This window comes from Homo sapiens, chromosome 20, assembly GCF_000001405.40.
Source record: "Homo sapiens chromosome 20, GRCh38.p14 Primary Assembly".
NCBI lineage: Eukaryota > Metazoa > Chordata > Mammalia > Primates > Hominidae > Homo > Homo sapiens.
The window spans coordinates 15,188,680-15,200,900 of NC_000020.11; the positions used below are offsets into that span (position 1 = coordinate 15,188,680).

Genomic DNA, 12,221 nt, shown 5'->3' on the forward strand with positions numbered 1-12,221 from the left:
TGGTGTGTGATTCCTTAAATGAGTTGTCATTTATGACAATGACTTTATTTATAAGGCACTGTTCCTAAGGGAATATGAGTTTTTTGACCTTGAAATACATGTAGCCAATCTGCTTGGCAATTTGTAATTGTCCCCCCTAAAATAGTAAGAACTTACTCTTGCTCTTTTTTTGGAACTATATTCAGCCTTGGGCAGTAAACTATAACTCAGCTAAAGTTACATAAACCCTGAAGGGAAATAAATTTCACCACTGTTGATTGGTAAATGTCACAGACATCAGTGCTATTTATCAAACATTTCTGGTTTCCTGCCATTTAGCCCAAAGATAAGATTTTAATTTCCTATCCCCTTTAGGGTTCAGCATGGTCATATGGCTGGATTTGGCCAATGACATGTGGGTAACAGTGATATATTTCACTTCTGAGTGAAGGGATTGAGAGCTAATCCATGATTTATCATGCCACCTTTTTCATAAGGTAATAATGAAAGCACCTAGCCAACTTGGAGCCTCCATCAGGCTGAGTCCCTGCATGACTACCATGAACAGGGCAGAAACCAGGACTTATTTTTTTTTTTTTTCCATGACCAACATAGTGCTTGGCATATTATTAAAATTCTAGAAATACTTATAAGTGTATGGGGGTATATATGTATGTGTGTAAATATATGTGTGTATGTGTATATGTATGTACACGCACATACACAGAGAGAGAAAGAGAGAAGCTGAATAATTTTTCTGAGAATCAACCGGAATTCGGGCAATCTAGCATGAAAAATTTCACTTGTAGCTGTGTTTGTTTCCCTTGGTTTCACTTGGTTAACTCAGCATGTTTTATAATAACATCATAACTGCTATTATTGACTTTATTCTAAAATAGGCTATTACAATTTCTGAGTAACTACTTTAAGCTAGTGTGTCCCTCCTTTTTGATGCCTCCCTGGCTGCACTTCGGTCAGGCTGGAATATGAGAATTCAGTAGGTGAAGGAAAATATATAAAGAGAAATATAAAAATATCCTGGTGTTCAAGAAATAACTTAAGTACTTATATCTTGAGGAGAAAATACAGATCCTCTTCAGTGCATTAGTCATGTAGGTATAATAAATGAGAAAGATGGAATTCAGGGGACCTGAGATCATTACAGTGTTATCTCACCGAGATGATTTTTTTTTTCCAACGGTAGAACCTCCTGGCCTGATCCTATTGAAGAAGAGGAGATAAATTGCTCTCTTTTGAAGGTGCATTAACCTTAGGTTCATTTAATGAATTACCTCTCCCAATGCACTAACAGATACCCTGGGGCCTGAGATGAAAAATGGCCTCTCTTCTCACTGAGAGGCTCAAATACATACTACTTCCTTCTTTCTCTTCAACTTGTTTTGACTTTCATTCTTTATCCTCTTGTGATGTATATTTAACATATAACTATAATGTACTCTCAGTTTAAAAATAAGAATGGGAAATCTATCCCCTAACAAGGGCAGTATGTGTTTCTTATTTTAAATAGATTCTCTTAACTTAATTTCTTGATTTTCTTAACCTCATTTTCTCCTCTGGCATCTTATGGTGCAAGCTACCTGCCATTCATGATTCTCCAAGACACCTTAAGGAAAGGAGTGCTGGGTGATAATACAGTAGGTGCTGCAAGGATGTGAGACGTGTAGTTAAATGGCTCAGCAGATGAGCTCAGTGCTCATCCCATATTCATAGTCCCCTCAGTAGAGGCCATTCAACTGAATGCTCTTCCTCTTCCTCCTCTGTAGAATTACCTCTCGAGCATCATTGGATCGTGCATTCGTTTAGAAAATATGTATAGGTAATCATCAGTCTTTGAGTTCCTCTGAAATCAGAGCCTGAGATAAGAATCTGGGACTATTTTAAAGCATAGATTTCATTATTCAGGTATTATGAGGCCAACAGGTCAGGAGGTAACCAGCATTGAAAAGATAGTTTGTTACTCACAGTTCCTAAGAAGAGGGGGCAGCCATGCCCTGTGGGGCCACACAGGATAGCACCAGGCCCAGTCAGCAGGCAAAAGGAGTGAGGGGAAAGGGTGCACAGGAGGCCTTAGAGTGGTTTCTGCAGGAAAAGCCAGGCAAGGCAGGATACGCAGGTTTAGAATTGGCATTTAGGGACCATCTCTAGTGGTCTGGTACCTTGCCCTGGGATAATTATGGGAAAGAACTATTGACCCCTCATGTTTAAGAGTCATATAGTTCAGAGTATGCGGTCTGGATGGGTTGGTTTGGATATGAAAAGCATGCTCCCCAGGGCTCATTTGCTATCTCTAAGAACTGACTAACCCTGATAGAGGCCATCCCTCCTTGGTCAGCAAGGCCGCAGTGCCAAATTATCAAAAATATAGAAAACTGTATACATAGTTAATCCAGGGCACATATAGTTTATTTGGGAAGTGATCCCCAGAAAACAAAAATGAAGAAGTGGGGAGAGTGAGACAGTGAAGCCTGGGGCTCATTTCCACTGAGGTTCCTCTGGGCAACTATGTAGAATGTACCTCAGAATTGTCCCTACAGAGAACAGGAGGCAGAAGTATTTATTCACTGACTCCCAGCCCCCAGTGGTTGAGGGTTGTCTGCAGGGACATTCACATCTATGCACTTCTGGGATGAGCTCACACACACAGGCTGTGCATAAGGCTTCAGAGAAAGCCCTGAGATAGAAGATTTGATTGCCCTGAAGGCATTTGAGGTGGGAAGCCATTAGGATGCCAGGAACAGTTCACCTCTTGACTGCAGTTATAGTGAAGAGGTGGGCCAAAGGGTGTGGCGTGGGGCAGCCAAAACTGTGTGCTGCAGCACAAGTCCCCGAACCCAGCCCTTCACTGAGGAACATCAAAGAAGCCTGCTCTTTGAGATGTAAACCATAAGATGATCAACACAAAAGGGGTCAGAGCAGCCACATACAAAGTCACCTTAAACGACAAATGAATCCCAGGCTGCAGGGCATAAGCCATTCCACCTGCCTAAAGAAAAAACCCTCTGCCAATCAGAAATATTTTCTGTCGGCTATGAAAACAGAGAAAGAAAAAAATAAATGTGATAAATGTTATTATGCCTTTCTGAGCATTGCACAGGGAAGATAAAACCCCAGCTCAAGGATTAGGCAGGAGGTAGGGATATCTTCATTTTGAAGGTGAAATTTTGCCTGATTCATGAAGCATTTAAGTTATATAACAACAACCAAATCATCAAAAATTTAGAAAACTACACATATGTGTATATATATATATATAGAGAGAGAGAGAGTTAATACATATATACAACTTTATATAGTTAAATAAATTATATAACTATATGTGCCCTCTATTAACTATGTATCTATCTATCTATCTATCTATCTATCTATCTATCTATCTATCTATCTAAAACTCTCTCTCTCTCCATATATATTAGTTTATTTGGGAATTGATCCCAGAAAATATTAATCCTCTCTTCCCTTTCCTTCCCACCTTTCTCATTCTTCCCCTTTTCCGTCTCCTCTGTCTTCACTCCTTCCTCTCCGCCTCTTCCTTTCTGTTCATAACTCTCATTGTTTGTACATGTAACTTGGATCACCTTCTGGGTTGGCTTTCCAACACTGCCAGCAAGCCATAACATCAAGATAGTAGCTCTCTGTCAATTACATTTTAATTCACAACCTTTTCATAATTTTCACAAGAACAAGTACAACGGAACATCAAATCTTTCAAATCAAACTGTTGTTCCTTTCTAGTTGGATTTACATTAAAATTGTACTGTGAGAGTGATGTAGACCTTTAACAGGCAAATGAACTAGAAGACATAGGCAAAAAGTGAGGCAAACGTGCTCCTACCAGCACCACCTCTGCCACCTCATATGTCCACACACCTGGGCTTCAAGCTAAGAAGCCTCCAGTGCCAGGCATCCTGCTAATACTCAGGGATCCCATTATCACTTAGCCATAAACTAAATTATTAGTGACATACATCCTGGATTACTCTGTCTGTATCTCACTCCATACATCCAGACACTGACACTTAATTATGTTGTTCCACAGTAGATCAAGTTTTACAGCAGCAACAAAGATTAAAACTGTTTTATATTGGGGACATTTAGAGGATAAACAGCAGAGGGTTCTAGGAGAGAACTATAGTCAGCTTTGTGGCCATCTGGGAGAAAACCATTCAAGTGCTATTAATATTTAAAAACCTTTTAGATTTTTATAGTTTGCAATGTTCCTAACAAACTGATCTCTAACTCCGCAGTGAATTTTTGGTGTCAAAACACACTGCTAAGCTATTTCTGAGTCTTTATTAACAGAGACAGAGCTGTCAGCTTTGTGCTGTCCTGGTGGCCTGGTTGAAAGTTGGTGTCATTGAAGAAGCAAATCTGAGTTTTCGGTTGTGCATGAGAATACGTCCACTGGTCATCAGCAGGCTCTAGGTCTGCATGTTTGTGTAGTTACCTCCCATCTTCTTTCTCTTCTCTCTCCTTTATTCTTTTTCTTTACTTCTTTCTTTATCTTGTTTTCTTATAAGTTTTCTGAGTCTATAGAAATATGTATTAGAGTATTACTTTAAAAGAAGTTCTTCCAAAATCTATATCAAATTAACTTGGCAGAAAGAGCCATAGTTGCTTCTTCCCAAATAGCTCTTTCTGCTTGAACTGTAGTATAGTATCAAGACAGACTTCAGAGAAAAGAATGGTAGCTAACATACAGTTGATAGAACTGGGAGATGCTTGGAAGGCTGAGGTGGGAGGATGACGTGAGGCCAGGAGTTTGAGACTAGCCTGGGCAACATAGCAAGACCCCATGCCTACAAATATAAAAATAAAAAACTTAGCCAAGTGTAGTGGCACACACCTGTAGTCCCAGCTACTTGAGAGGCTGAGGTCGGAGGAACTCTTGAGCCTAGAAGTTTGAGACTGCAGTGAGCCCTATCACTGCACTCTAGCCAGCCTGAGTGACAGAACAAAACCCTGACTCAAGGAAAGAAAGAAAGAAATGGGAGATGAATGATGAATAAATAGCCTGCCGTCTTGCACGCTGGCTCCCACCCTCATCCTCTCATTTCCCCAGCCCCGCTGTCACTCCTTCATTCTCCTACTCTCACAGCCCTCTCTTGGTGGTTATGTACAAAGGAGCGGGTGAGAAAATCTCCAACCTGGTGTCTATAGTAAAAAGCAGCATCAGGTATTGGCAGAATCACCAGATTAGTAATGAGATGATGGTTGCTGAATCTTTCCATGCTTCAATTGGGGGAGAAAATTGTTTATACTGTGAAAGTTTAAAAGAAATCAGGTAGGCCAGGTGTGGTGGCTCACACCTGTAATCCCAGCACTTTGGGAGGCCAAGGCAGGCAGATCACCTGAGGTCAGGAGTTCAAGACCAGCCTGGCAAACATAGTGAAACCCTGTCTCTACCAAATATACAAAAATTAGCCAGGCATGATGGTGGGTGCCTGTAATCCCTGCTACTTGGGAGGCTGAGGCAGGAGAATTGCTTGAACCCAGGAGGCAGAGGTTACAGTGAGCTGAGATTGAGCCACTGAACTTCAGCCTGGGTGACAGAGCGACACTCTGTCTCAAAAAAAAAAAAAAAAAAAAAAAAAGCTTCTTCCAGAAATCAGTCAGGTAAAGCTAGATAATAAAGGGAAGGAAAAGAATTGTATCAACCATACAGTGTTAAATCAGAGTTTATTAGTGTTGTTATGGATGACCTTGATTACATGATTTCATGCATGCTTTAACTGATTCTTATTTGTGTAGCATTATTTTTAATCTTCTACTTTGAAAACTTCTAGACTTACAGAAGGGTTGTAAAAATAACGCAAACAATTCTAGTACACCCTTCACTGATTTCTCAGTGAAATCTATCTTTACCATGTTTTTTAATCATTCCATAACATCAATAATATGTATATATTATTAACTCCTGAATTATTTGAGGTAACTTGCAGAGTTGGTGCTCTTTACCCTTAAATATTTTAGAGAATATTTCTTAAAAACAATTATATTACATAATGACAGTACCATGAAATTAACATTGATTAAATGCTATTATCTAACCTTTAGATCTTAGTATTCCTTATTTTTTTCACTAATTTCTGTTACAGTGGAAGGAAGAAAAACACTTTTCTAGTCCAGGATCCACTCCAGAGTTACTGTTTGCATTTAGCTGTCATGTTCTTCCAGCCTCGTGGTTCCTAATCCTTTTTTCTTTCATAATCTTGAAATTTTTAAGAGTATAGGCAAATTATTTTGTAAGAAGTCTTTCAGTTTTAACTTTTGTGGTATTAAAGAATCGTTTTCTAAGCAATGGGGAAAGGATTCCCTATTTAATAAGTGGTGCTGGGAGAACTGGCTAGCCATATGCAGAAAATTTAAAGTGGACCCCTTCTTTACATCTTATACAAAAATTAACTCAATATTGATTAAAGACTTAAATGTAAAACCCAAAACTGTGAAATCCCTAGAAGAAAACCTAGGTGATACCATTCAGGACATAGGCATAGGCAAAGATTTTGTGGCAAAAACACCAGAAGCAATTTCAGCAAAAGCAAAAATTGACAAATGGGGTCTAAGTAAACTAAAGAGCTTCTGCACAGCAAAAGAAACTATGATCAGAGTGAACAGACAACCTGCAGAATGGACGAAAATTTTTGCAATTTATCCATATGACAAAGTTCTAATATCCAGATTCTATAAGAAACTTAAACAAATTTACAGGAAATAAAACAACTCCATTAAAAAGTGGGCAAAGGACATGAACAGACACCTCTCAAAAGAAGACATACTTGCAGCCAACAAACATGAAAAAAAAGTTCAACATGACTGGTCATTAGAAAAATGCAAATCAAAACCACAGTGAGATACCATCTGATGCCAGTCAGAATGGTCATTGTTAAAAAGTCAAAAAACAACAGATGTTGGTAAGGTTGCAGAGAAAAAGGAACGCTGTTACACTGTTGGTCGGAGTATAAATTAGTTCAACCATTGTGGAAGACAGTGTGGCGATCCTTTAAAGATTAGATGCAGAAATACCATTTGGCCGAGCAAACCCATTACTGGATATATACCCAAAGGAATGTAAATTATTCTATTATAAAGATGCATGCATGCATATGTTCATTGCATCACTATTCACAACAGCAAAGATATGGAATCAACCCAAATGGCCATCAATGATAGACTGGATAAAGAAAATGTGGTACATATACACCATGGAATATGACACAGCCATAAAAAGGAACGAGATCTTGTCTGTTGCAGGGATATAGATGGAGCTGGAAACTGTTATCTTCAACAAACTAATGCAAGAACAGAAAACCAAACACTGCATGTTCTCACTTATAAGTGGGAGCTGAATAATGAAAACACATGGACACACGGGGGAACGACACACACTGGGGCCCTTAAGAGTGGAGCAGGGAAAGGGAGAGCATCAGGAGGAATAGCTAATGGATGCCGAGTTTAATAGCTAGGTGATTAGGTGATTGGATGATCTGTGCAGCAAAACCATCATCGCACATGTTTACCTATGTAACAAACCTGCATATCCTGCATGTGTACCCCTGAACTTAAAATAGAAGTTGAAGATTAAAAAATGAAAAAAAAAAGAATTGATTTCAAAAAAACTAAAAATATAACATACAAATATAACAAGAACATACAACAAATGCATTATTTAATTCATTAATTAATAAGGAAACTAGTAAGATGTTAAAATCAGTCTTAAGGAGCATTTGAGGAGCTAAGATATATGGCAATTTTACCCGAGATGTTAGAATAAGATTTCTGGCTTAGATACAAAATTGGTGAATGTCTTAGAGGACCATAAACCATAATCCTTGGGATTATACCTTCCATTGAAAAGAAATAATTTACATCTCTACTGGACAAAAATCTATGGGTTAACGTCTGCATTCTAAGAGTTGTAAAGTAGTCCAATCAGTAGTAAGCCAAGCCAAACACTACTCTGCAAAAACACTTTCACCTGTTCCAGGTTTTGGATATGTTTTTGACAGTGGTTTTTAAATTATGTTTCATTGTTGGCCAGGACTGAGCAGAGGGAAAACTGTGAAGAAGGTACAATATGTACTTGAAATCAGGAAGTACCCACTTCAGCCACCCCATAATATTTCTCTACCCCTCCCTTCTGCCTTGAAGTGCCTGAGTCTTATCCATACCAGATATGCCACTATCGAGAAGCAGATGACAGGCTCAGGCCTTACCAGGGATGCACTTGCCACATTTTGGAAAGACTACATAAAAAACCTTTAAAAATTGGAGCCCTTTGGGCCTCAGGTATCCAAAGAGCACATTTTTTGGAAACTCAACACTCAGGAAGGTCGCATAGAGCCAGTTTATGCAGGTGAGTATTTTGCTCACTCTTATAAGGTCCTTATAAGGTCCTCTTCATGTCTGGTTTGGTTCTCCTTTTCATGCCCTGGTGAGTTTCCCTGTTCCCCATATATGAGTGACTCTTTTTTAAGGTACCTTTAATCTTTTCTTCATTTAGTTTGTCAGTTAACCATGAAGGGCTTTTTGCTCAAAGTTTGGTTTCAATGTTCATCATAAAAATGACATCCCAAAGGAGAAAATTTACTTTTCTATATTTTACACAAAAAGAGAATACTAGTAAATATTGCTAATAATTAAAATAGTATATATATATATGTGTTTTCATAGTTTTATAGATTTTTAAACATTGAATGATATTCTTAGCGTTTTAAACAGATTATATCTCATTATTGTGTGTTACCATTAGGCAACAATGAAATGTTTAAAATATTTTTAAAGTATTGTATTTTAGTTGTATCGAGACATATAAGCCTTTCTTAATTTAGGGGAACAGGAATAAGACTACCCACTAGACAATTGAATCTCTGGCCTACAGCCAAATTTTACAGAGTTTAGATTTAATGCTTATCACTTTTTTTAAGTGATTATTCTTTTTAATTTCCCTAAGTCCCCCAAATTAGTTTTTTGATATTTACTTTTTCTGTGATTATTTTGAGAAGTTTCCAATCTTTATTTTATTTTACTTTATTTTTGAGACAGGGTCTTTCTCTATTGCCCAGGCTGGAGTGCAGTGGCATGATCATGGCTTATTGCAGCCTCTGCCTTCTGGGCTCAAGTAATCCTCCCATCTCACCCTCCTGAGTAGCTGGGACTAGAGGTGCACACCATCACATCTGGCTAATTTTTATATTTTTTGTAGAGACGGGTTTTTGCCATGTTGCCCAGCCTGGTCTTGAACTCCTGGACTCAAGCAATTTTCCTGCCTTGGCCTGGCCTCCTTTTTTTTTTTTTTTTTTTGAGACGGAGTCTTGCTCTGTCACCCAGGCTGGAGTGCAATGGTTCAGTCTCAGCTTACTGTAAACTCCACCTCCCAGGTTCAAGCGATTCTCCTGCTTCAGCCTCCTGAGTAGCTGAGACTACAGGCGTGTACCACCACACCGGCTAATTTCTGTATTTTCAGTAGAGACGGGGTTTCACTATGTTGGCCAGACAGGTCTCGAACTCCTGACCTCGTGATCCACCCGCCTCAGCCTCCCAGAGTGTTTGAATTACAGGCATGAGCCAACGCACCCAGCCTCTCAGCCTCCTTAAGTGCTGGGATTACAAGGTGTGAGCCACTGTGCCTGGCCAGAAGTTTCCAATTTTTAAAAGTTAAGGTAGTTCTTAATTTTCTAATTATAAGCATTGCCAACGCGTCAGTTCTAAGTGAATATGTTTATTAGAAGGCATAATAAAAAGCAAAAATTCGTCATAAATTTACTGCTCAGAGATAATTATTGCTTACATTTGACACTTGGCATTTTTATTATTTTTTATACCTATTTATTTACATTTGTATACTAGAGATCACTGGATATACAACTGAGCGTCTTCATGTTTTCAATAAAATACTATATCATTAGTATTATCCTGTGTAAACTTTCTCATAATTATTATTTAATAATGGTATAATATTCCTTTGGGTTAATGGACTATAATTCATTTCACTGCTCCCTTGTGGTTGGCAGTTTATTTTTTCCCAATTTCTCTTTTGTATAGAATCCTGTGAGGGCAATTTTTATGAACCCCACAATTTACATTTACAAAGTTATTTCCATAGAAGAGACTCCGTAGAGTGTAGCAATCTGCTGGGAACTAGAAGCATATCAAAGGCTCTTGACATGTGACTCCACCAGTGCTTATGTGTGCTTATCTCATGGCCTCCTGACTGGGTTCGAGTTTCATAGATTGTTCAGTCTTTTCTAATAGTTGTTTTAAATTTAATGTCATTGAATAGTGGCTTCATTGAGCATTTTTTTTCAAATGTGAATTAGCATCTGGACTTCTTTTTTTTTTTTTTTTTGTACGTGATCTACATCCTTTTAGATAGTGGCAACTGGACAGATGTAACATTAATCTGCACTGTAGGCCAAGTGCAGTGGCTGATGCCTGCAATCCTAGCACTTTGGGAGGCTGAGGTGAGAGGATTACTTGAGTCCAACCCGGCCAATATAGAGACCTCATGTCTACAAAAAGTTAAAAAAGTTAGCCAGGCATGGTTGTGCATGCCTATAGTCCCAGCTACTTGGGGGACTGAGGTGGGAGGATCACTCTGAGCCTGGGAGGTCGAAGCTGCAGTGAGCTGTGATCGCACCAATGCACTCCAGCCTAGGCAACAGAAAAAGATCCTGTCTCAAAAAAACAAAAAACAAACAACAACAACAAAAACACTGTGTAAATGTATGTATGTGTGACTCCAGGTGACTTATTTAACCTCTTTGAATTTCCATTCTTTCATTTGCAAAATGACGATAATAATGAAGACTTCACAGAGTAGTAAGAATTAAATGAGATATTATAAGCATAATACTTAGCACAATTCCTGGCAGTGGTAAAGAGCCGTTAAATGACTTTGTTATAATTGTTACTAAAATTATAATTAACATTTTTTCAAGTATCTATTGGGGAAATAGATATTTTCTATTGGCGTACATGAGCTTTTTATGGATTAAATACATTATTCATTTGTCATATTTGCTTATGGAAATATTTTCCAGTTTGTTCATGCTGTTTTAAAGTTTGTTAAATTATTTTACCTCTGTTTCTGTGTTTTGTCAAAATGAGGACCAAATAAGTTGTTACAGCACTTAACAGAAACAAAAAGTAGCCACAACCCTTTGGGCATCCTCTAAGCATTTGGTCATTACTATCATTAGCATCAGGGGACAGGAATATAAAGAGCATACAGCACCTACTATTCAATAATGAGGCAGAAGTCAAGTTGAAAAGTTCAGTTCTGAAGATGTCATTCATAATGATACCAACTCAGATTGTAGTTATTTTCAAGTCTAAACACTTAAACATTTATTAGAGTAAATAACCGTTAAAAATAAGAGGAGAAAAATTATCTTCTTTCAAGAACCTGCCTCCAAATTTATCTTAACCTCTGAAATGCGGCCTTCGTAGTTTCAGCTAAGGCCTTGTTTCATCAGCATACTGGGTCATAAGTTGAAGAAGAAAAAAACTGGAGTAAAAAACTTGAGGTTTCAGATAGTCTCCCCCACCCTCTGGGAATTCACTGGTGACTGATTTAAATACTGAAACTTCACATGCTACTTTGATGACTATATATTCAGTCACCTTCCTTTGGATTAAATTGCCATACTCTTATTTTTTCAATCTGGTTTTCTTTGCAATGTTTGACCCTGTCACCCAATTACCTCATTTTTGGTGGGGTAAAGGTGAGAAAAGATCAAATCACTGTTAGTAGCTGCAGAGGCTTTAAAAGACTCATTTACCAGTATGGTTGTATCATGTTTAAATTTCTAAATGGCTAAGCAACATGTGCCACTCTCTGAGTAGACTTAAAATGATGAAACTAAGTGAAACCATATTAACTACGTAAGGGGATCACTAGGATCCCAGGTTGTGCTATTTGCTAGCAATCATTACAGTTTATTTAAACTCCGTGTGCTAGAAAGTTATAAAATGGCACAAGGCATGATCCCGATTTGTAGTTCAGAGACTAAATCTATGAGATTTCACTATAGGTAATCTAACTGGTATTTGTTTAAGTTACAGATACAATCAGAGCAGCCCTTCTCAAACTTTAATGTTTATACAGATCCTCTATACATCTTTTTAACATGCAGATTCTGATTCAGTGGGCCTGAGATTCTGCATTTGTAACAAGCTCTCAGGAGATGCCCCTGTTGCTAGACCATGGACCACACTTTGAG

General features: G+C 38.2%; 1 protein-coding gene across 5 annotated transcripts in view; it reads left to right on the forward strand.

The window, feature by feature from the left end:
* The window catches only part of MACROD2 (mono-ADP ribosylhydrolase 2), a 2,057,682-nt gene that overhangs the window by 1,193,164 nt on the left and 852,297 nt on the right, over nucleotides 1-12,221 (forward strand). For 2 of the 5 annotated variants that reach the window (NM_001351664.2, NM_001033087.2), the window contains exon 1: nucleotides 8,161-8,353. The exons of the other annotated variants lie outside the window; for them this stretch is intronic. The gene's annotated coding sequence lies outside the window, so the exon portion shown is untranslated. Of the gene's footprint in view, nucleotides 1-8,160; nucleotides 8,354-12,221 lie in introns of those variants that run through there. 5 annotated transcript variants of the gene reach the window in all.